Genomic DNA, 26539 nt, shown 5'->3' on the forward strand with positions numbered 1-26539 from the left:
ATATGTATGAATGAATTTATATGCATGCACTAAATTCTTTGGGAAGGAAGACCCATAATCTAAACTATTTTCAGTTTACCTATAATATTATCCAAAATAAAGCCATTCTGCTTATCGAATCAAATTTCCTTTGGGAAAAAAAGCCTTTAAATTATAATTTATATAAGCATTTATAACTGTGATACCTACAGAGGTTGGAGATAATAGAAACTCTTGGTACTGAAAGCCACAATTTTCTATTGTTTGTATCAAGAGGTCTCTAAAAAGAAAAAAAAAAAACTTTAATTCTTACTTGGAAAGGCAGTTCTTATTTAAATAATGTACACAAAAGCTGGGTTTCTTTTGTTTGTTTTCTTGTTTTTTTGGTTTTTTTTGAGACAGAGTCTCACTCTGTTGCCCAGGCTGGAATGCAATGGCAGAATCTCGGCTCACTGCATCCTCCGCCTCCCAGGTTCAAGCAATTCTCTGCCTCAGTCTCCTGAGTAACTGGGATTACAGGCACCCACCACCACGCCTGGCTAATTTTTTTGTATTTTTAGTAGATACAGGGTTTCACCATCTTGGCCAGGCTGGTCTAGAACTCCTGACCTCATGATCCACCCGCCTCGGCCTCCCAAAGTGCTGGGATTACAGGCGTGAGCCACCGCGCCCGGCCCACAAAACCTCATTTTAAGTGAAAACTGTAACTTCACTTGTTTAGAAAGATAATGACCCTACGTTTTTACTAAGTTCAGCACCTCAGAAATAATATTGAATCAAAAGATATACATAATTCATTACTACAAATAAATAAAGCTGCCAGATAAATTATCCAAACTGATGAAAGTCAGAATTGCTAATCTAGTGATGATCAATCTGCATGGGAACTAGAACTTTATCTTCAAGGTGGCCAGTCAGATGGGAGCACTGTTACAGACAGCAGCTGACTCAAGGACTCGGGTGGATGCTTTCTCTCCAGCTGAGCCACCATCTGAAAGAACCCCGACACAGGAATTCTTCCTGCATCCAACTGTAGGGCAGAAAATACTTGTCAACAGGACCAATTCTTACTGAAAACATTTCTACTTCCACAGAAATAAGCACCAATATAAATGACTAAAACTGAGAAATGCCATTCTTACCAACCACTTACTCTAGAAAAATTAGAAAATATCAAAATAGAAGAGAATCAGTTGAACAAAACTTGGTAATACTTATTGTAATACTTACTAATACATTATTAGTAAAATCAATACTGATGAGTAAGACATTTAATATATAAAATGTCAGAATGTATGCACTGGTTTTTAAGATTTTTATTTCACAACAGTTCCTACTATAAGATATACCAAGTCTAAGATGTATGCAAGACAAATACATTTTTTTACCTTGTAGAAGATACTTCAAAACCTTTAACATTTTCCAAAAGAATATACTTTGGTAATTTTTGTAATCTATAAAAAAATAAACAAATGGAATTCTAAATATCTCATTACTAAGAAGAAAAAGTAAAGAAAATCATTACTTGTGGGAAATACGAGGTAAGTAATTTTCTGAACTCTTTTTAAAATGGAATTTTATAAGGCTGGAGACAACATATATTTTATTCATTTTTCCCTTAAACACAGCACACTTGATAAAGTTAACATTTGAAATGTTGATTTCCATTGAAGTTTATCTCAAGCATGGGTTCACACAGAGCCTCTGTGGTGTCAACTGAAAGGGCGGCTACTCACATAGAAGGGTGGCTTTAAGGGTTTGCACATATTTCCAGGCCATGGGTAACAGCATTCACTAACATTAGCACCATCTGCATCAACACTATGAGCAGAGGCAGCAGAATCTAGCTAGTAGGCTGTGATTCCCTGTCACTCACCGTGGTGGCAAGCATGGAATTGTGAAACATTTGCAGTTACTCTATTAGTCATGGTAGGAGAAGATAAATGACAGGCCCAATATCTCAAGGGAGCATGTATAAATGGCTATCCTCTACAAAATGACAAACGTCACATTCTTCCAGACCTGGAGTTTCAAATGAAAGGTAAGCTTGTACAGGAACCTAAGTTTTTACCTTGGGAGAATATCTAGAATATGTAAGAAGCTATTCGTCCTTGAATCAGTCATATCACCCTGCCGGCCAATCCTAAAGGGGTAAAAAAAAAAAAAAACAAAAAAAAACACAGAAAGTTTATTAAGAATCTGATAAAAAGATGTCAAATCACTTTTTAAGTCAAAAGGAGAATAAAAATAAGTTGGTCCTCACAAAAAATAGGGTCATCTTTGTTGTTACAGAGAAGAAAATACATTTATTCATTTATAAAGAAAAAAGGGGTCCAGGCGCAGAGGCTCACGCTTGTAATTCCAGCACTTTGGGAGGTGAGGCAGGTGGATCACGTGAGGCCAGGAGTTCGGGACCAGCCTGGCCGACATGGCGAAACCCTGTCTCTACTAAAAATACAAAAATTAGGCCGAGCGTGGTGGCTCACATCTATAATCCCAGCACTTCGGAAGGCTGAGGTGGGCAGAACACTTGAGCCCGGGAGTTCCAGACCAGCCTGGCCAACATGGCAAAACTCCATCTCTATTAAAAATGCAAAAATCAGCCGGGCGTGGTGGGGTACGCCTGTAATCCCACCTACTCAGGAGGCAGAGGCACAAGAATCACTTGAACCTGGAAGGCAGAGGTTTAAAAGAAAAAAATCCTTACATATCTAATAAGTACACTTAAAATTTATCTTTATAAAACAATATGACAAATGACTTACATTAATCAAAAAAGAACAAGAAGTCAATGCAGAATAAAACCAACTGCTCTCTTAAAATCACTATGTTTAGGAAAACACACACACATGTGCTGGCTGACTACACTTTTTGCTTTCCCCTTGGTGATGTAACCAGAGTTCAGAGGAACGAACTGCTGAATGGAGTAGCAACCCGAAGCTAATGGCACTGGTGGCCAATCTAAGCCAATCAAAGCAGTAGGTAAAACTAACACAATTTTGTCCAAAGTAAATAGGAGAGACTTAAGCTGAAGTCTAGATTCTATAAGCAGGAGGTGCAACTTGGTTAGAGTAACCAGGGTCAAAACAAGTCATGTAAACAGGCAGTACTTGGGCTAGCAAATAGATCCTACAAGAAAGATTCACAACATGACCAAAGATAAGGCAGAAATGAAGACTTGAATTGAGCCCGAGCAGCAGGAATAGAGGATCAAGCAGAAATGAAGACTTGAATTGAGCCTGAGCAGCAGGAACAGAGGACCAGGGTTCAAAAGCATGTGTATAGAGGGAAATTTATAGCACTAAAAGCCCACAAGAGAAAACAGGAAAGATCTAAAATTTACACCCTAACATCACAATTAAAAGAACTAGAGAAGCAAGAGCAAACACATTCAAAAGCTAGGAGAAGGCAAGAAATAACTAAGATCAGAGTAGAACTGAAGGAAATAGAGACACAAAAAACCCTTCAAAAAATCAATGAATCCAGGAGCTGGTTTTTTGAAAAGATCAACAAAATTGATAGACCGCTAGCAAGACTAATAAAGAAGAGAGAAGAATCAAATAGATGCAATAAAAAATGATAAAGGGGATATCACCACCGACCCCACAGAAATACAAACTACCATCACAGAATACTATAAACACCTCTACACAAATAAACTAGAAAATCTAGAAGAAATGGATAAATTCCTCGACACATACACCCTCCCAAGACTAAACCAGGAAGAAGTTGAATCTCTGAATAGACCAACAACAGGCTTTGAAATTGAGGCAATAATTAATAGCTTACCAACCAAAAAAAAGTCCAGGACCAGACAGATTCACAGCCAAATTCTACCAGAGGTACAAAGAGAAGCTGGTACCATTCCTTCTGAAACTATTCCAATCAATAGAAAAAGAGGGAATCCTCCCTAACTCATTTTATAAGGCCAGCATCATCCTGATACCAAAGCCTGGCAGAGACACAACAAAAAAAGAGAATTTTAGACCAATATCCCTGATGAACATCGATGCAAAAATCCACAATAAAATACTGGCAAACCGAATCCAGCAGCACATCAAAAAGCTTATCCACCATGATCAAGTGGGCTTCATCCCTGGGATGCAAGGCTGGTTCAACACAAGCAAATCAATAAATGTAATCCAGCATATAAACAGAACCAACGACAAAAACCACATGATTATCTCAATAAATGCAGAAAAGACCTTTGACAAAACTCAACAACCCTTCATGCTAAAAACTCTCAATAAATTAGGTATTGATGGGACATATCTCAAAATAATAAGAGCTATCTATGACAAACCCACAGCCAATATCATACCGAATGGGCAAAAACTGGAAGCATTCCCTTTGAAAACTGGCACAAGACAGGGATGCCCTCTCTCATCACTTCTATTCAACATAGTGTTGGAAGTTCTGGCCAGGGCAATCAGGCAGGAGAAAGAAATAAAGGGCATTCAGTTAGGAAAAGAGGAAGTCAAATTGTCCCTGTTTGCAGATGACATGATTGTATATCTAGAAAAACCCATCATCTCGGCCCAAAATCTCCTTAAGCTGACAAGCAACTTCAGCAAAGTCTCAGGATACAAAATCAATGTGCAAAAATCACAAGCATTCTTATACACCAATAAAAGACAAACAGAGAGCCAAATCATGAGTGAACTCCCATTCACAATTGCTTCAAAGAGAATAAAATACCTAGGAATCCAACTTACAAGGGATGTGAAGGACCTCTTCAAGAAGATCTACCAATCACTGCTCAATGACATAAAAGAGGATACAAACAAATGGAAGAACATTCCATGCTCAGGGATAGGAAGAATCAATATTGTGAAAATGGCCACATTGCCCAAGGTAATTTATAGATTCAATGCCATCCCCATCAAGCTACCAATGATTTTCTTCACAGAATTGGAAAAAACCAATTTAAAGTTCATATGGAACCAAAAAAGAGCCCACATTGCCAAGTCAATCCTAAGCCAAAAGAACGAAGCTGGAGGCATCACGCTACCTGACTTGAAACTATACTACAAGGCTACAGTAACCAAAACAGCATGGTACTGGTACCAAAACAGAGATATAGATCAATGGAACAGAACAGAGCCCTCAGAAATAATGCCACTTATCTACAACTATCTGATCTTTGACAAACCTGACAAAAACAAGAAATGGGGAAAGGATTCCCTATTTAATAAATGGTGCTGGCAAAACTGGCTAGCCATATGTAGAAAGCTGAAACTGGATCCCTTCCTTACACCTTATACTAAAATTAATTCAAGATGGATTAAAGACTTAAATGTTAGACCTAAAACCATAAAACCCTAGAAGAAAACCTAGGCAATACCATTCAGGACATAGGCATGGGCAAGGACTTTATGTCTAAAACACCAAAAGCAATGGCAACAAAAGCCAAAATTGACAAATGGGATCTAATTAAACTAAAGAGCTTCTGCACAGCAAAAGAAACTACCATCAGAATGAACAGGCAACCTACAGAATGGGAGAAAATTTTTGCAATCTACTCATCTGACAAAGGGCTAATATCCAGAATCTACAATGAACTCAAAACAAATTTACAAGAAAAAAACAAAAAACCCCATCAAAAAGTGAGCAAAGGATATGAACAGACACTTCTCAAAAGAAGACATTTATGCAGCCAAAAGACACATGAAAAAATGCTCATCATCACTGGCCATCAGAGAAATGCAAATCAAAACTACAATGAGATACCATCTCACACCAGTTAGAATGGCAATCATTAAAAACTCAGGAAACAACAGGTGCTGGAGAGGATGTGGAGAAATAGGAACACTTTTACACTGTTGGTGGGACTGTAAACTAGTTCAACCATTGTGGAAGTCAGTGTGGGGATTCCTCAGGGATCTAGAACTAGAAATACCATTTGACCCTGCCATCCCATTACTGGGTATATACCCAAAGGATTATAAATCGTGCTGCTATAAAGACACATGCACACGTATGTTTATTGTGGCACTATTCACAATAGCAAAGACTTGGAACCAACCCAAGTGTCCAACAATGATAGACTAGATTAAGAAAATGTGGCACATATACACCATGGAATACTATGCAGCCATAAAAAGGATGAGTTCATGTCCTTTGTAGGGACATGGATGAAGCTGGAAACCATCATTCTCAGCAAACTATCACAAGGACAAAAAACCAAACACCGCAAGTTCTCACTCATAGGTGGGAATTGAACAATCAGAACACATGGACACAGGACGGGGAACATCACACACCGGGGCCTGTTGTGGGGTGGGGGGAGGGAGGAGGGATAGCATTAGGAGATATACCTAATGTAAATGATGAGTTAATGGGTGCAGCACACCAACATGGCACACGTATACATATGTAACAAACATGCACGTTGTGCACATGTACCCTAAAACTTAAAGTATAATAATAAAAAAAAAGCATGCTATTTATCTTCAGAGTCTTAAATAAGTTAGCTGGCATCATTGGTCAGTTTCCTCATACCTGATGGCAGGACCAAAACCATCAGTGGATCTGAGGTTCAGCTGTGGGATTAGACTGGATGTGAACAGACTTCTCAGAAATCTTCAGTTCTTATTTGTCCTTTCCTGTCAGACTTTCACATGAGGACTACAGAATCAGTTACTCCTGCCATCAGCAGCTGGAGCTGTGCTAAGACAAGGGGGAGGTGGGAGTAGGAAAGCTACGGGGCCCTCTGCAGTATTACCTGAGGCTTCACAGAGCTGGAGCTGCATTCCGCTGTGTATATCCTGCTCACTGTACTCCACAGGCCACACTCTTGCACGTGCCTAGAGCCACCCTGAGATGGAATGGCCTCTGCCTGCTCTGATATACTCCTAATCTACCTCCAGACACAGTTCAGACATCACCTCTGAAAGAATTCCCTTCTCTTGGTATGCAGCAAGCCCTTTTCTCCTCTGTACTCCTGTGACACTTTCAGCATTCTTTTATTATATAGCTTATAAGATAATTTAAGATAACATTATAAGATAATTATTTGTCAGCCATTCCCATTAGACTATGAGCTCCCAAAGGACAGGAACTACAGCATCAAAAATAATGCCTGGCTTGTAGGTGAACCACAAATCCTTGGGAAATTCATTTCCTAGAGAATTGTTTAAATAAATCCAAATGTAGATGGAAATTTGGCATTAGAATATTCATTCACTGAATTAGACTGGTTATTACATATGATATTCTACTTAAAATCATGGAATATATAAAATGATTAACAAATCTTGGCTCTGACATTCTTTAATTGTATATCCTTGAGAAAGTTAACCTTTCTATGCCCCAGTTTCTCATCTGTAAAATCATTGTAACAGCAATGGCTACCCCATAAGCTTGTTAAATTAAATGACATCCTCTGCATAAGACACAGACACTTAGAGGATTACTACTGCTATTTTCATTTAAAATAATCCAAAATACTCTTATTAAAAATATCTAAATGAAAATCAATTAGTCAAGATTTGGTCGAAGATATAATTTCCTGAAACATATAGCCAAATATATATATACACACATATATATAATTTTTTAAATGAAGAGTTTATAACGTTGCTATGAAAAGTCAGAATTATTCAATGTACATATGAATTTTAAGAAATGTAAAGTTCACAAGTGCATGCTTAACTAGCTTTTAAATTGTACAATTAAGCAATTTAGGACTTGAATATTTATTGTGGAAATTCACTTTGCTTAATCAGTATTAGAAAGATATTCTTGAATGCTCATTAGTTTAAATGAATTAAGGTACTTTGGGCTGGAAATAAACATTGTGTCTTAGGTAAGTATAAAAGAGGTATCCTACAGTCTTGCATATCTACTTTTGACCAAATTAATTTGCTCATCTGGTAGCAACTGCTATTTCCTTTGTGATTAATGCTTAATTATAAATATGAATGGAGGCTGGGCATGGTGGCTCCGTGTATAATCCCAGCACTTTGGGAGGTCGAGGTGGGAGGATAGCTTGAGCCCAGGGCTTTTAGGCCAGCCGTGGCAACATAGTGAGACGCCATCTCTACCAAAAATTTAAAAATTAGCTGGGCATGGAAGTACATACCTTTAGTCCCAGCTACTCAGGAGGCTGAGGCAGGAGGATTGCTTGAACCTGGGAGATTGAGGCTGCAGGGAGCTGTGATCATGCCACTGCACTGCAGCCTGGGTGACAGAGCAAGACCCTGTCCCAATAATTATTATTATTTAAAAATAAATAAATACATACATAAGTAGATAGAAGGATTTATGAAAAAATTTCCGAACTATGAAATGCAGCTAATAAACTTCAGAGTGTCCATGTTTGACACTACAGTATGATCTGATTTAGTAAGTCCTTCAAAAGCACTTTCTCTACACTTGATATGGTTTGGCTGTGTCCCCATCCAAATCTCATCTTGAATTTCCACGTGTTGTGGGACGGACCCGGTGGGAGGTAACGGAATCATGGGGGCAGGTCTCTGCTGTGCTGTTCTTGTGACAGTGAATAAGTCTCATGAGATCAGATGGTTCTATAAAGGGCAGTTTCCCTGCACAACATCTCTCTCTTTACCTGCTGCCCGTGACTTGTTCCTCCTTGCCTTCCGCCATGATTGTGAGGTTTCCCTAGCCACATGGAACTGTAAGTCTAGTAAACCTCTTTCTTTTGTAAATTGCCCAGTCTCAGGTATGTCTTTATCAGCAGCATGAAAATGGACCAATACAACACTGAAATATTTATGACACATACCTTGTGAATGGCTGGCAGGGAGGGCTCATTAAAATCATATCAAAAGATAATCTGTCAAACTCTTCGAGTGTAATGCCCTGAGGAATGAACATTTAGGGGGAAAAAAGAACATAAAAACATGGATAGAATGGGGAAGAGGGAAAATACTAACTATAATTAAATATATCAGAAACTGAAACAGTTTATAATACAATGCTTGTCAAATCAACTTTGGTTAACTAACTTCTCAAAGCAATACTGTGAAGGAAGTGGGGCAGTAAACTGAAGCTACAAGAAATTAAGTGACTTCCCCCAAGGTCCCAGCACCAGCCCAGAGCTGGAACAGTTGTTTCCTGGATCCTAAGCACATCTGGCCTGTATCACACCTCAAGTGTAACACTGCTGTTTTCTAGAGTAAAACGTGGAGAACCTTATTTTATAATTGATAACGTTCATGGAGATGGGGTCTAGGAAATTTTTAAATACCTACCTGTCAATAATGTTCTTTATTTAGCAAATGTGATATGCAGACCAGTCACCATCCCTTTCATATACATCTGTTAATATATTATCAAATGGAAAAGGGCCTCATTCTCAGATATCCACAATTATTTTGTTTTGCAGTTGTGTGCAATGAACTTCAAATGACTGTTGACAAGATGCATCAAAAGAATTCCTAATGGGCTAAGTAGCTGAAAACTGTGCTGTGTTGCTCCTTTTCTATATCTCAGAAGACAAACACAGGGAAGCACACGTCAGGGGTTTGCCAACTCACATTAAGCACTCTCAGTGCACATCTTTAGCTAGAAACTTAAAGAAATGAGCCCAGAATCAAAACCTTCCTAATTATAGCCCACTTCTAAGAAGTTCAAGCACATGAATAAAGCAGGAAAAGCTTTACTCTGAATTCTGTAAAGAGTGAGTTAACGTGGGAACATGTCAGTTGTCTCCATTGTATTAACAGTTTGAATGTGCTTGTCTATCAGTTTTTGATCATAGGATTTTAAATAATTAAAGATACATCTGTGAAAATGAAATCAAAATCAGATATTGAAAATTTCCTAAAGCACTTCTCGACTCCCCAGTGTTAAGGAAAGCAATCTGAAAATCCTACACTGAGCAGTCTGCCAGAACACACGGGGCAGGGTATTAGCACATCACATTCAAGTTCAACAGCCTGTACATACAGGGCCATTATGATAAGCAACTGGACGTGGAATGATAACAGCTAAATTCCTACAACTAAAGTAAAAAACAACAATCTCTCATAGCAATTATTCCAGGGGCATCCTATGTCTAGAATCGAAAGGAAGTAAACAGAGTCAATGTCTCTAATACAGCTAGCCACTAAAAAAATTACAGCTTTAACAGATTCTTGAAAATAGTGATTTTTTTAATAGTGTAGGCCAACTGATAAGGCAGTTAGGCAAAAATTCATCACTAAATTGAACCCTTCACAACTTATTTAACCTGGTATTCTAGGTCAATGAAAGTGTATTTGGATTAAATAAAGTAGTCATGGAAATACACAGGTTATTTTTAATGACTAAATATTTTAAAGCCAAAGGAAATTGATTTTTTACCTTATATGACTATACAAGTTAAGGAAAATACTTTTGCTTTCAGATAATATTAGATCAAGTCAGTGGGCTAACACTGTTCATCCTGTATTGACTGGCAGGTGTATTTGTCCCTCTGCCTGCCTTATTGCCTATTTTCTCAGAAAGTTTTCTGGCTATTCTTAAACTGAATTTTCATTTGAACTTTAGGAAGAACTTGGTAGATTAGAAAACAACAACTTTTGACTATTTTATTGAAGTTATAGTGAAACAGAGCCAATATTTTTACAATATTCAGCCATCCTATCCAAGACCACAGTACGCTTTCATCATTTTTCAAATCTCTTTAACTCCCATGTGAGTTATATAGATTTCTTGTTATACAGATTCTTGTGTTGTTACTAAAAATAGGAACTTTCTCCTATTATGTCTTCTAGTAGACATATTGTATATTGTATGCTGTAGGTTATCATATTTTTGTAGCCAGCGTCCTTATTAAAGCACTAATTGTTCCTCATATATTATTTTTGCTTAACTTGTTGGTATTTTCCGGCATACTCAATCACATTTTTAAATATTTCTATTTATATGATATTTCTCTGTGTAAGTACATTAGCTAACAGATCCACAACTATATCAAGTCATAGTGCTAATGGTGGACATCCTTGTCTTTTTATTATTTTAATGAGAATACTTTTAAAGTTTCACCATTTGGTATGTTACTGGATTTAGATGTGTGTGTGTGTGTGTGTGTGTGTGTGTGTAGTCAAGATCTCAGGCAACCAGGCCAGCAGTCAGGCTCTTGGAACATTTGCATTCTTAGTCCCAGAGCCTTCATTCCGAGGTGTCCTTATCTGAGGCCTTGAGCAGAACTTCTCTGCCAAGGCCTCCTTGTGTGGGGAGGTGTGGGAAACCCTGAAGACACTGATGACACCTGAAGAGTGTGCCATTCTGACTCAGTCCCCAGCACTTTTCCACTGCTAGCCCTCCCTGCTTTCCCTTCCCTTAAGGCCAAGGATTCCCTCAACAGTGAGAGGGCCCTCACGTATACACTGATCCATGGGTAAATGGAACCGAGAGAGTGGCATTGTCTCTGCTTTTAGATTCTTGCCAGTAACACCACTGTAAGTGAGTGAAGGCTTAACTCTTTTGTTTTTGGCTTGTGGCCTTAATCAGCTACTTTAACGCTCTTGACAGCTGAGCTTTCTCTTTCCCAGCTCTGCTGAGACCCTGACAACAACACTGAATAATGTCCTAAAAAATTGATAGTTTCATTTATCTGCAAAGACATATTTTTTGTGTCTCACTGCCTCTTCCCACTCCGATTACATTATTATTTCTACACTGCAAAGCTTTACAACATTTTCAGCTATTTTCTAACCATAGTTTTCCTCCTAACACGGCAGCTTCATTCCTGGGTTTTCTACTTTGATTCATCTCTTGCTCAGCTAGATTAAGTGATGCAGTCATCTGTTCCAGAAGGGCTCATGGATGTTATATTGTAAATTTCATTCTAGAAAAATTTTTATCTATTTTTATTAAGAGTTTTTGTTCCACTGGAGTCATTCTCCTCTTCAGAGGCATTAATGATATTTATCACGGATCACTCTGTCTTCGGTAGCTATCATTTACTCTACAGTATGTAACTGGAGAAAGTGAAGAAAGAGAACAGAGATTATTTTTGAAGCAATAATGGTCAAACCCCCCAAATTTGATGAAAATTATAAATAAGAAAAGCACCACAAGGTCCAAGCACTACAAATAAAGAAAAACATACAGAGCACATCAAAATAAAACTTTTCAAAACACGTGATAAAGATAAAATCTTAAATGTAGACAAAGAAAGACACAATATATTAAGAGGAATGAAAGCAGAAATTATTACAGACCTTAAGTCAGAAATTAAGAAACCCAGATAACACTGGAAAGTATTAAAAGAAAACAAACAGATTTTTACAAAAATATCTTTCAAAATGAATGCAATCAAAGATTCAGTGGGCCAGGCACAGTGGCTCATGCCTGTAATCCCAGCACTTTGAGAGGCTGATATGGGAGGACCAGTTGAGCCCAAGAGTTTGAGACCAGCCTGGGCAACATAGTGAGACCCTGCCTCTCCAAAAAAGAAAAAAAAATGAGTAAAAATTATATTTCACAGTGAAGACAAAATAAAACACTTTTTTACTCAAAAGCACCAAGGTAATTTGTCCCTTTCCACATATAACCAACAAGAGACACTAAAGAAGGTTTTTCAGGAAGAAGAAAAATTATATCACATGCAAACTTTGATCTAAAACACAAGGATAAAAAGTGCTGAAAATTGTAGGTATATAGATAAATATAAAAGACTTTGTGCTTTTTAAAAGTTCTTTAATAGATATTTGACTATTTAATCCAAAAAACAGTAACAATGTATGTTGGTGCCTATAACATTCGTAGCAGTAAAGTGCAAGACAAAATATCAAAATAGACCAGTAGGGGAAATTGGAGGAATACTGTTAAAATTTAAACATAAAGTGGTATAATGTTATTTGAAGGCGGGCTTCCACAAGTAAAAGATGCATCTTGTAAACCCTAGAGAATCCAACAGGAAAATAAAACAAAGATAGATATAGATATTTAGATATTTAAAAATAAATTTCAGTTTACATTGAATAAATATTATGACTAATTGTCTTTAAAAAGACATTAGTGAAGAATAATGAATTTTTTAAAAATCCAAATAAAAATAGTGACAATGTAAAATGGTAAAAACACTTCAAAAACTTTGAAAATTTGGTATTTTCTCATAAAGTTTAATAAATGTAGGTATTTATCCACAATAAATGAAAACTAAGATCCACACAGATTTGTACATATATGTTCATTGCAACTTTACTTGTAATGGTAAAAAACTAGAAACTACTTAAATGTCTATAATAATGTGAATACATACACATATTGTAGTATATGATATTCTACTGTACAAAATATCACTCAACAATAAAAAAGAGCAAATTATTGATATACAACAAAACATGATGAATTCCAAAACCATCAACACTAAACAAAAGCAGTTCCACTCAAAAGAACTACACTCTTATGATTTTATTTGTGATATACTAGGAAGGGAAAACTTAATCCATAATGAAAAGAAAGCAGATCCATTGTCGCCTGGGTTGGGGTTGGAGACTGACAGAAATGTGGCACTAAGAACAATTTAGCATGATGGAAGTGTTCTAAGTCTTGATTGTGGTGGTAGTAGTTACACAGTTGATGATTGAGTCGAAACTCAAACTGCCCACTTAAAATTACGTACAATAAACTACATATTTATTGCATGTAAATTATGAGAAATTTCATGAGAAATTTGTTTGTAAAATTTTTCATGATAAATTAGGAGAAACAACACAATTTCTTTTTTTTTTTTTTTTTTTTGAGACAAAGTCGACCAGGCTGGAGTGCAGTGGCGCGATCTCAGCTCACTGCAACCTCCGCCTCCTGGGTTCAAGCGATTCTCCTGCCTCAGCCTCCCAAGTAGCTGGGACTACAGGCATGTGCCAACACACCTGGCTAATTTTTGTATTTTTAGTAGAGACCAGGTTTTGCTATGTCAGCCAGGCTGGTCTCGAACTCATAACTTCGTGATCCACCTGTCTCGGCCTCCCAAAGTGCTGGCATTACAGGCGTCAGCCACCGCGCCCAGCCAATTTCACATTATTTAAAAAATAACTCAACATAAATCAGTGTTTCAATACTTGTGCTGAAGTCACCACAGGTGAAAAAGGTTAACCTTGACAGGTTTGCTAAAATAAGAAGCATTCAGTAAAAGCCAATGATTTTCTCCCTTGTTCTTACTGCATGCTATATATATTGCATAAGTATTTAATAAAAGTAAATACTTTTTCGAAGTTCAATATCACCACAGAACCAAGCATTTAGAAGTCAAGCATATCCTTACATTTCAATTATTTCTCTGAAAGACCAAAATATTGATCTCCCTGTCTATAGCTGGACTTTTTTTTAAAAGCATGCTATCTTCTGATAGGATATAAAATGTTAATCTCCTTCTCCTGAACTCTTAAATTTATATATGCTTTATCTTCCAATTAAGACAACGGAAACCAGTATTAGGCAGTGTTTTTCAATCACATTTCCCTTGCTACATACTTATTAAAACAATGACAATTACTCACTTCAATCGTCTTGGCAAGTAACTGTGTGTGAGGAAAATTATACTTGTATACTTCATTAGCGACAGTGTTGACATCAATGGCAGCCACCACTTGTGCAGGTATACAGCTTTCTGTAATGATAAATGGAGTATCTTGAAAAGAAAAGTCCTTAAGTTCATTATAGAAAGAAATCAAAATAGCAGAATTTAGTAATCCATTTCCTTATTTCTTCATTTATTAGCCTCATCTCAGACTGTCAGTGGAAGGTCAGGCCAGGGGAAGCCAGGCATGAAGTGAAATATTTGAACATGGACTTCTGGTTCATCTCTCTAAACAGCATTCCAATACTAAAGAGAAGATTTAAATATTTTAGTGCTTACCTCTTATATTTGCTTTCCTCCCTCATTAAGAGACACACTTATAAGTCAAATAGAAAGTTTTCCTAAGTTAAAACAAACTAAAAATTGAAAAGTGAGATATATTCTAAAAGCCCTATGATTTAGAACTTTATATAAATAAACTACCATTTGTTCTGCACCTTCTCACATTAATACAATGTTGCTTCACAGTACCATTGAAAATGCTTTAATTGTTTTTTTAGTAACAGCTTTATTGAGATGTAATTCACATTTGACAAAATTCACCCAATTAGAGCTTACATAAGTTTTTAAATGAGATGAACAATTAATTGGTATCCAAATGTAAATGGTTCATTTACCAACATTTTAAATGTTGACAGACCAGAAGAGAATATAAGAAGAATAAGGGAAATAATTATAAAGGAATGCCTTCACTGCCCTTCTGTCTTGCTGGTGAAGAAAACCATTTTCAAAATGTTTTCAGATCCAGAGAATTCTAGCATATTCTTTAATGTTAGCCGAAATTGGAACTCCACAATTGTAGCCGTAGCTATATTTTACAATGACCACCCTCTTTCCCCAAATATGTATAAAACCAATTATGTGCATGCCCTGACCCAAGTCAGGAGAAAGTGTGAAGTTTTAAAAATGAAAGTATTTGAGACTTCAGAAAATCATCAGAGAAAGCAATACAATATTACATAGTAGATCCAAGTAGCCGATTCTTTAATACCATTAGTTGATTAATAGTTAGCTGATTAGCTTACCCCAAATATCAAAAAAGGAAAAAAAAAAAAAAAGAGTGGTGTGAGGAACTAGGACTCATGCAGCAGGCACCCGGAAATAAAAGCAGACCACAGGAGACAGGGCAAGGAGAAAGGCTCACACACGCTCAGAAAACAATCATAACCTTCCACTGAGGCCTAGAAGAGATGAGGCCAGGAAGAAAAGAAAGGCACAAATGTCTCCAAGGATTGATACTAAATGGCTGCTAGGCTCAAGACACTCAGCAGGTATCCTGCTGAAAAGTAAGATCCCCTGCGTGCTGCAAACTTGGTGGTCTAATCAGTAATGCCATAGACAGCTGCCTCTTCTGCATTGAAGTGCAATAACTAGTTACTGGCCTTAGTATAAAATAAATTTGAGGTTATAAATTGTATCTGTTAAAGCCATCAGATCTTGAAACATAAATCAAGAAGGCTTCTAAACAAAAGAAAATATTAATATATAAGGATCCATTTGCAAACACAAAACTATCATAATTCAAGTCAAGAATTAAGCTACTACTAATCACTGTAAGAGAGCTGAAAATTAAATAAACTTCATTGTACTATTTTACTGTTTTGTTAAATATGTTGTAATCAGCATGATGTAGCCTGCTTGTATTTCCACCATATATGAAGCAAACTGGGATTGCCTGACATTGGTTAATAGGACTTGTATCTTTTTTCAGGCAGAGTGAAAATGTACAGTGATGTGCTGAATCTGCACTGTAATCAATAATTAATTTTATGTTCTTGTGTTATATGCCTGGAGGTCATAAAAACTGACAAAAATCAACTGCCAAATGAGTATTTCATATGGTGATCCAAAAACTGATGAACTGAAATTTCTTTCTCAGGAAAGAACAGATTTTCAAAGCCAATAAGCAAATGCACTGTTTGCATGGATTGATGCACATATTTTAGACTGTTATAAAATTAGGACCTACTGCATAACTTAAAAAGTTATTTCTATTAAGAGAAATGGATGTACTAAGATATTACTGACACTAATTCAACTTGCCTTCTCAAAATAGAATTGGGGGGTGGTTATTGTTTCTAAGGAAAAGGTTAAACTTACAGATAAGTTTTAAAAAGCAAACCTGTCAATTCTGTCAAAATCTTAACTTGAATTCCAAAGACTAGTTGCCTTGATATTTCTTAGTATACAGTTTAAATCTACAATCTCCAAAATTCTTTACTTTTAAGTTACATATATAGATTTTGAAAATGTATAATTAAAAATGTCAAAGTGAATATAATTCTATAGAATTTTGCCTATGTGAGCTCCATCACTTGAGTGATCCAAGAGTAGTAATTCTCAAAAAGGAGGCAGAATTTGGGAAAGGGATTCGTGAGTATCTTTTCATTGAAACAGAGGAAGAGGATGTGTTTTCAGTACTTTGATGTATTACTTTGCCTAGACTTTATTCATGATATTTCAGTTATTATTCAGGATTTCATATTTATTAACAGGAAGCCTGGTTTAAAAAAAAAAGGTGAGATATCCTACTTAGAGAAACACATTTATTTTATTTATTTATTTATTTATTTATTTATTTTTTGAGATAGTGTCTCACTCTGTTGCCCAGGCTGGAGTTCAGTGGCATGATCTCGGCTCACTGCAACCTCCACCTCTCAGGTTCAAGCAATTTGATTCTCCTGCCTCAGTCTCCAGAGTAACAGAAACTACAGACACTTGCCACCACACCCAGCTAATTTCTATATTTTTAGTAGGGACAGGGTTTCACCATATTGGCCAGGCTGGTCTCAAACTCCTAACCTCAAGTGATCTGCCTGCCTCAGCCTTCCAAAGTGCTGGGATTACAGGTGTGGGCCACCACGCTTGGCTGAAAAACACAGTACAAATTATTTTAAAAGGTTGTCAGATTGGCTCCGAAAGGAATACATAAGGACATCACGCTTCCATTTATATGAGGACTAAATTTAAAAGGTAGATTTAGTTATTTCAAGAGAGACTTCTAGGTAAGATGTTAGAAATGTCACTGAGGATACATACATAATTCTTGCTTTCAATATGCTTCTTACAAAAATAGACAAGAAACACACACACACACACACACACACACACACACAGACATTTGAATAGCAATACTTTCCTTTCTTTTTCTGATGATTCTTCTTTCTGGAAACGCTGTAGGGAAGAACTTTTTGTTGGTAGTAGTGAAAAGCTTTACAAGTTCACACTCTTCTTGACTTTCCTAACCAAATAAATAAAAAAATTTAACTGTTCTTGTGTAGTTATTAATGTGGGAAAAAAATCAATATTTACAAGATGTAAATGCAAATGTAAAAAATGTAAATGTAAAGACGTTATGTTAGATAATATAATGCAGTTTGAAGTTTTGAGGAGGACCTTGAGAAAGAAAATTAAGGCATAACCAGTCCACTTTGAAATAAGGAAAGAAATTTTTAAAATTCTATTCCTTCTTTATTATTTATTTTCTAATCTATATCTCATATAGGTGAGTAACTACTGAATTACTCATTATACTCACACCTGAGACATTTAATCAAGTATGTTAACACTGACATCTAGTTGTAAGATGAAAGATCAGTTGAATACATCCAATGTCCTTTCATTCAAAGTGCTGGCTTAGTTAGGAATAAAAGTACTAAAGAACGTACAGACCCATAAGGATCTGAACTTAAAATTGCTGCCAAATGTTTTATCACTATTAGTAAAGTATATTGTTTGGTTCTTTTTAAAAGTTCTTGTATTTTGCTGGGTGAGGTGGCTCACACCTGTAATTCCAGCACTTTGGGAAGCCAAGGAGGGCACACCATTTGAGGTTCGGAGTTTGAGACCAGCCTGGCCAAAATAGTGAAACCTCATCTCTACTAAAAATACAAAAATTAGCCAGGCATGGTGGCACACGCCTGTAATCCCAGCTACTCAGGAGGCTGAAGCAGGAGAATCGCTTCAACCCTGGAGGCAGCGGGTACAGTGAGCTGAGATTGCACCATTGCACTCCAGCCTAGATGACAGAATGAGACTCTGTCTCGGAAAAAAAAAAAAAAAAAAAGTTCTTGCATTTTAAAAATTGCTGATAAATTATTTCCAAGAATAAAATAAAAAATACATTAAAAATATTTTTCAAAGATCCAGTTTCCTTAGAAAGTTTCCATAGTCAGCTAACTGTCCAAACAAAATTTACTTTGTGTCAAGACATACCTTAGATTATTATTGTTACTAACACCAGACTAAATATAAGAGACCACCAGCCAAAATACGGATAGGAACTGCTGGAGATCTATGAAATTATCACGTCCTTGACACTATATCTTAGGAGAATTTATTTTTCAACAAAATACCAAAAGACATACCAGAGCCAGAGAAGTGGTGGAAGAGAGAAATATGGCAAATTAATGTAAAAAAAAAGGAGCACAGTGAAGGAATCTACAAGGAATGGAAAATAAAGATGTTATGTCAGGTAGTATAATGCAATTTGGAGTTTTGAGGAGGACCTTGAGAAAGAAAATTAAGGCATGAGTAATCTTTCCGGAACGTCTCTAGAAAGTCTATTTAAAGTCATGTTGATGTCATGAGGTAGCTAATACAGCTTCTCCAGCCCCTCAACCCACAACCTCGCACCAGCCCTGAAGCTTTCCTTGGCAGAAGAGAAGAGAAAAAGCAATTTAGCTATTCACTTTCAGCAGGGGCTACAGAAAGGCCACATAGCCCAGCATTACCCTTAGTCCTGAGGATGCAGGGACCTCAATTTCCAAGGGCATAAACTGGTCTCTAAAAAGAATATAGGTAACGAACGCCTAGGATACAGTAAATGCTCAATAATTATTAAAATTCATATTCACTGCCTGGCATTTATCTGGAATATTATAGATTAAATAGATAAAATAATAATGATAATGATTATTTTAACTAAAATTTAAAAATCAAAATTAAAACAATCATTATCATTATAATTAAGGTTAGAAAATTAGACCAGTGACAAAAGCTTAAGACTCATACTGTTCATCTGGGAGATGAATTGCAGGAGAAATATTTTTGAAAGAGTTTCAAGTAATGTAAGAAGAGATCTTCACAAATGACAAAAACTAGCTGATTCCAATCTCTACTAATAAAAAAAAAAAAAAAAAGGAAAAACAGAAACGGGCTAAAATTTAATCCCAAGAGACTAGCATTGATGGGAAAAGCTTTCCTGACCTTGCTATCAAACCCTAGAATGAAAGAGAGAAATCGGAGGTATTGGGGAAAGGATTTTTTTAACACAGGGCAGAAAAATTTTCTTCCCAGGATATTTATTACTTGTTTTCTCCAATTTGGAGGAGGATAGTCCCACTAAGCAATCCCTAAAGACACTTTCTAGCCCTGATACTCTATGAGCATTTAAGTAAGAAGTATAGGTCTTCAGATCATCTTTTACTACCTGCCATTATTGACAAAGATCTTGGCCTTTTCACCCTAATTCACTGGTTAGAAACTAAAGAACTGATACAAGAGAAATGCTCTTTTATGGCTATGTTTGTCTATTAATTTGCCTTTCCTAGATACTACGTTTAAAATAACTATTAAAGAATAAAAATAGTAAGTGAACTACGACAAACAATATAAATTTTCTCTTTCTGCCGGGTGTGGTGGCTCATGCCTTTAATCCTAGCACTTTGGGAGGCTGAGGCGGGTGGATCACCTGAGGTCAGGAGTTTGAGACCAGCCTGGCCAACATGGCAAAACCCCGTCTCTACTAAAAATACAAAAATCAGCTAGGCATGGTGGTAGGCACCTGTAATCCCAGCTACTCAGGGCCTGAGGCAGAAGAATCGCTTGAACCCACAAGGTGGAGGTTGCAGTGAGCCGAGATTGCGCCACTTCACTCCAGCCTGGGCAAAAGAGCGGAACTCTGTCTCAAAAAAAAAAAAAAAAAACTCTCTTTCCATATTCGGTACAGAGAAAACCTGATTTGTGGGAATCAACATGAAGTAACATTGCATTAATGCTTAATTTTTTCCTTCTACTTATAACTGTCTATTAGGAGAGAAACTAGTATTTCCTAGACAAAGCTGCACCTTAGGTGAAATAGTGCCGTGCTTTTTTTCATGATAATCAATCTTTAATTCCCTTGTCCCTCTTCCCATTTCAAACTACCTAGCAAAATGCTAAACTGAACACTAAGCAAATGAGTACTTAAGAAACAGTATGAAAGATGGATAGCAAACAACATATTTTTCCTATTTCAGAACTCAAGGAACTTCACAATTTCTCCTTAGTGCTCAGTCTCTTTGAAGTAAATTTTACATCAAATTAAATTTTGCTAATGAAATTTTACTAATATGTTTTACTAATGACTCAAAAATATGATTTCTAGTTATACTATCTCTACAAAAATTATTTGCATATCCCAACATTTATTTCTTCCTCCTCTTCAATAACCAAACATCAAATTTATTCACTGTGGCAATGCACCCTGCTAAAAGGATATCTGCCACCCCTCTACAGCTAGATGCAGCCATGGACTAAAGTCAGACTAATGAGACAGAATAAGTGCATCACACTCTCAGAGAGTGTTCTATAAAGGAAGAGAGTGGTAGTTCCCTATGCTCTCTGGCCTTTCCACTGGAGGTTTGGAAAGCAGATGTAATGACTTGAGCTCCGTTTGCTGTGACGGACCATGAAGGCTGATCCGTGCACTCTCATCACACTCCAGTTCACTCTGCTGTCACATTTTTCCCAGGACAGTGGCTCCCTCACTAGACTACTCAATCATCTCAGTGCTGACACCATGTCTCATTCATATGGGTACTCTCAGCACCCAGGCATTGCAGTAATTGGCACAGAATAGGCGCTCAATAAACGTCTATTAATTGAATACATACAAGAGAATAAGTGAATTATACTTCCTAAAATCAACTCCAGATTATTACTGATTACCCTCCTTGTTCTCCTGTTTCTGAGAACACTGCTAGCTTAAAAAGTATTTAATATGTCTGAACTTATATGATTATCTATCTCAATGCTCATTTTTAAGTAATTGTTTGACATTTAGGTCAAATTTTTTAACACCTACAATGAAGTTCCCAGGAAACCTACAAAATTCTATTTATGTTACAAATGTCTTAAATATAGTCCCAATAGTGCTATTGTCAGGCAGTAAGTAAATATCTGTGAGATTACCTATCATGTACTGAGCACTCTACTGAGGATACAAAATGAGTGGACATTTGTTTTCTGTTTTACCAGCATCTGGCCCCTCCTTTTCTGGCAATAGTCCCAGATTTTCTTTGGGGGAAACTTACCTCACTCATGCTCTGTTGAAGTGGTTCAGATGGCCTCAAATCCCCTTCTCCTAGCTTCTAGAAGCCTCGGTCAAGTGCCTGAGCCAGTAAGACTAGCCAGACCGGTTTCAGGATGGGCATGCAACTCAAAATAAGCCAATTAGGCACAATAAGAGGTGACCCCTGGCTTTTTCTTGTGTAACTATTAATAGCAAGAGTAGCTTGATCTTTCTTACCACGTTAAACCTTGGATGGAGATAAGTTCAGAGGCTACTACAGGCATTTTGATGCAATAAGGGGAGAACATATATAAAAATGCACCCAACCTAGAAGAAACAAGGCTGAGATACATGGAGAAAAAAACTGGTTTCTGGTGACATGATTTGAGCCCCTGCTTCAAACTCTACCCCTAACTGGGCCTACATTTGGACCTGGTCAATTAAATGAGTCCAGAGTTACAACTTTTAGGAAACCAGTCTGAGCTAAGTTTCTGTCACTTGCAAATAACACTTCTAAGTGGCAATCAGGTGAACACAAACTAATATGCCATTTGTTCCTATGAGGAGAAGCATTTCAAATTCCAAACTGGCAAACAGAGCAATATGAATGCAAAAGTCCTGTAAATAAGTAATTAATTAACCATACATCTACAAAATAGAAGTATTCTTCTTGATAAAACTGTTCTAAATTGAAGAAAGAAGGTCAAGAGTCTTCAATTTGGGGAGTGAAGACTTCCTTATGGTAATACCCAATCACTTATTTCTATATATGGATACTAAATACAACAAATACAGAGAGAGAGCTACTTATAAACTATAGCTCCCATGTCTTTTAAGGAGCACAGAATATTTTCAGTTGCCCAGTCTCATCAATTCTTACAAAGCTCAAGTCCTGAAAGTAAAACAGTTAAAATAGAAATTTCATTACAAGCAATTCAAAAATACCAAATTTTAAATGATCGATAAACATATAAAAGATGCCAAACTTCACCAATAATGACAGAAATCCACATTAACCAGTTTTACCTAGCAGCTTGGCAAAGATTGGATAAATGAACACTGTCTAATGCCAGCAAGGATTTAAGAAAATGTGCTGTCCTTCATGTCATTTGTGGTATAAATTGACATAATTCTTCTGATTATTAGACCTAGTTATACTACATCTGGAAATGTTCGCTAAGGAAAATTGTAAACAAGTATGTAAAGATAAGAGTGTATCATTACATACATGTATGAAAATAGAGATGTTAAAAAGATAACATCCATATTTACTGTCACAAAGCAATATCCATATTATTTACTACATAGAGCAGTTACAGAATATCTTGAGTAAAAATCCAAGTTTTATAAAGTGTATGTGTATGTGTATGTGTGCACCTTAAGACAGAGAAAACAGCCAATATCAACAGAGGCTATCCCCTGGTGGTGAGATTTGGAGGTAATTCTTCTTTCTTTAAACTCTTTTGAATAATTCGATTTTTTTCTCATTGAGAATATACTATTATTTTATTTATATCTTTAGTTACTTTTTTGAGATGGACTCTTGCTCTGTCACCCAGGCTGGAGTGCCGTGGCATGATCTCAGCTCACTGCAATCTCCACCTCCTGGGTTCAAGTGATTCTTCTGCTTCAGCTTCCTGAGTAGCTGAGACTACAGGTGTGTGCCACCACGCCCGGCTAATTTTTGTATTTTTAGAAAGAGACAGGGTTTCACCACATTGGCCAGGCTGGTCTCGAACTCCTGACCTCATGATCCACCTGCCTCGGCCTCCCAAAGTGCTGGGATTACAGGCATGAGCCACCGCACCTGGCAAGAATGTACTATTTTTATAATTGGCAAAAAGCAAACAAAAAAATGACTCTTATTTTGGAACGAAAGAATTCAATGCTGCTCTTGGTTTTGACCCTGAGAAACAACAAAAGGAAAGTAACAAGGTCAGACAAGAAAGGTTTGGCTCTTTTCTCAAGGCATGCCAATTGTGCTGTGACCTGTCACAGGCACATACACACCAGTAAACAATTATAACTCATTATAATTACAACAATTGTAACTCAGTGCATTATTTTACCTGCTAACTCAACAATAATCAAAAGAAAAACTAAAAATTAAACTACCTTATGAAAGTCTTCTAAAGATCATCAAGTAGCTAGCATACGCCCAAAAAATGTAGAGCTGAAAGTAACCTATTCACATGCTTATAGAAGTCAAAAGATATAAACTACTTAAAAAGTCAAGAAATAATAGAAACACATGTGATGCAGTCAATTACAGGTGTGAACAACAAAGACTTTGATTTTGTTTTACATACATTTGTTTTGAGTGAATGACCACTCATGAATGGTTCCTTACTATAAAATGTTTACGGTCCTCTTTACTGATGCTTTCTCATAACTTATGAGGTGATCATTTCTGACATATTTATGGAAAAGTCAATGAAAAAATGAGAAGTGACATAAACATTAGTACTCTATATCTAGTTAACTGAATTTTTTAAAGACTTGTAAAAATATAATTATTTTAATATTTTATAACATATAGTATAATATATATAATAATTAACTCACAAAGATCCCTAAAATTAGCCTAAGAAAATCCTCTCTAAATTTGTCTTCCCATTCTGAGCCTCCTTTGCTTTATAGTTAGCCCTCCTTGAAAGCTTCTAATTTTCATCATTATTGACTCAATAAAATTTCAAATCCTATCCTGCAAAACACTAGCAGTATAATTTCTGCTACAGATACCTCTAAAAGGAGAGTTAAGTTTTACAATTTTGCACTAGGCCAGAAAGTATAGGCTTGTCATAAGACCTATGCACTTCAACTGCCTCACTCATTTCCCCTTTCCAAGTCTCCTCCTAACTATATCATTCTCTACAAATCTTTTTCCACTAAGCCACACAGTATTCAGCATTAGGCATTCTTATTTTATTTTTTATCAAAGCTATCTTAGGGACAGTCTTATGGAATTTTTTATTTTGTGTGTGTGTTCATACGTCCTGATGAAGATTTAGAATATGGATATCTGTTTGTGTATTTCTTTCTCTCTTTCTCTGCTAGAATTCTGCATTTAAATCCTAGCTTGGCTATTTCCAGTTGCGTGATTTAGGCAAGTTTCTTTGTGTCTTTAAGCCTCAGTATCTTCACCTATTAAGAGGATAATAAAGTACCCGCACCATAGAATTTTCTGAGGATTAAATGAGTTAATAACTATAATAGGACATGGACATCTTTGGGGATTACTATTTGATTAGTGTCTGGCATATAATAAATGTTTGCCATTATTATTATTGAAAGTGCAAAGACTTTTTAAAAATGAGAATATCAAATGCTAGAAAGGACCAGGTGTGATTTAAAAATCGTCAGTGCGGCACTTCTCAAAAGAAGACATTTATGCAGCCAAAAGACACATGAAAAAATGCTCATCATCACTGGCCATCAGAGAGATGCAAATTAAAACCACAATGAGATACCATCTCACACCAGTTAGAATGGCGATCATTAAAAAGTCAGGAAACAACAGGTGCTGGAGAGGATGTGGAGAAATAGGAACACTTTTACACTGTTGGTGGGACTGTAAACTAGTTCAACCATTGTGGGAGTTGGTGTGGCGATTCCTCAGGGATCTAGAACTAGAAATACCATCCCATTACTGGGCATATACCCAAAGGATTATAAATCATGCTGCCATAAAGACACATGCACACGTATGTTTATTGCGGCACTATTCACAATAGCAAAGACTTGGAACCAACCCAAATGTCCATCAATGATAGACTGGATTAAGAAAATGTGGCACATATACACCACGGAATACTATGCAGCCATAAAAAGGATGAGTTCATGTCCTTTGTAGGGACATGGATGAAGCTGGAAACCATCAATCTCAGCAAACTATTGCAAGGACAGAAAACCAAACACCACACATTCTCACTCATAGGTGGGAATTGAACAATGAGAACACTTGGACACAGGGTGGGAACATCACACACCGGGGCCTGTTGTGGGGTGCGGGGAGGAAGGAGGGATAGCATTAGGAGATATACCTAATGTAAATAACAAGTTAACAGGTGCAGCACACCAACGGCACATGTATACCTATGTAACAAACCTGCATGTTGTGCACATGTACCCTAGAACTTACAGTATAATAAATAAATAAATAAATAAATAAATAAATAAATAAATATGGTCAATGCAGTTGTGAGCATCAATTAACAGTCAATATTTCAATGAATATTTGGTGGTATACATTTAAAACCCAAAAAATTACTTTGGATTTTTTAGTTTTATGTTTTGGCACATTTCTTAAGGTGTGATAGGCAAAATAATAATCCCCAAAGATATCCACATCTTAATCCCTGAAACCTGTGAAAATGTTACCTTACATGGGAATCAGGATTTTGAAGATGTGATTAAACTTGAGATGAGGAGATTATCCTGAATTATGCACGTGGGCCCAGTATAATCACAGGAAGGACTGAGGAAGGTTAAAATCAGAGAAGGGGATTTGGAGATGGAGTAGAGGTCAGAGAGAAGGCTTTGGGATGCTACACTTCTGGCTTCAAAGATAGAAAAAGGGATAATGAGCCACGTACTATGGGCAGCCCCTAGAAGCCAGAAAAGCCAAGCAAATGAATTCTCCCCTAGAACCTCCAGAAGGAATGCAGCCCTGTTGATAACTTGATTTTAAGACTTCTGACCTCCAGAATTATAAGATAATAAACCTGTGTTGCTTTAAGCTACTAAGTTTA

At 36.6% G+C, this 26539-nt stretch overlaps 1 protein-coding gene across 17 annotated transcripts in view; it reads right to left on the bottom strand.

Annotated features, from left to right (window-relative positions):
• TRDMT1 (tRNA aspartic acid methyltransferase 1) overlaps positions 1-26539 on the bottom strand; it is a 64337-nt gene that overhangs the window by 22780 nt on the left and 15018 nt on the right. For 5 of the 17 annotated variants that reach the window (NM_001351219.2, XM_005252374.5, NM_004412.7 and 2 more), the window contains exons 2-6: positions 14436-14545; positions 8726-8802; positions 2051-2122; positions 1368-1433; positions 190-259 (exon numbers count right to left, since the gene is read on the bottom strand). In NM_001351219.2, coding sequence (NP_001338148.1) covers positions 190-259; positions 1368-1433; positions 2051-2122; positions 8726-8802; positions 14436-14545 — 395 coding nt within the window. Of the gene's footprint in view, positions 1-189; positions 260-1367; positions 1434-2050; positions 2123-8725; positions 8803-9194; positions 9425-14435; positions 14546-26539 lie in introns of those variants that run through there. The other 12 variants (NM_001351221.2, XM_047424697.1, XM_047424696.1 and 9 more) reach the window with 7 other exon arrangements.

This window comes from Homo sapiens, chromosome 10, assembly GCF_000001405.40.
Source record: "Homo sapiens chromosome 10, GRCh38.p14 Primary Assembly".
Taxonomy (NCBI): domain Eukaryota; kingdom Metazoa; phylum Chordata; class Mammalia; order Primates; family Hominidae; genus Homo; species Homo sapiens.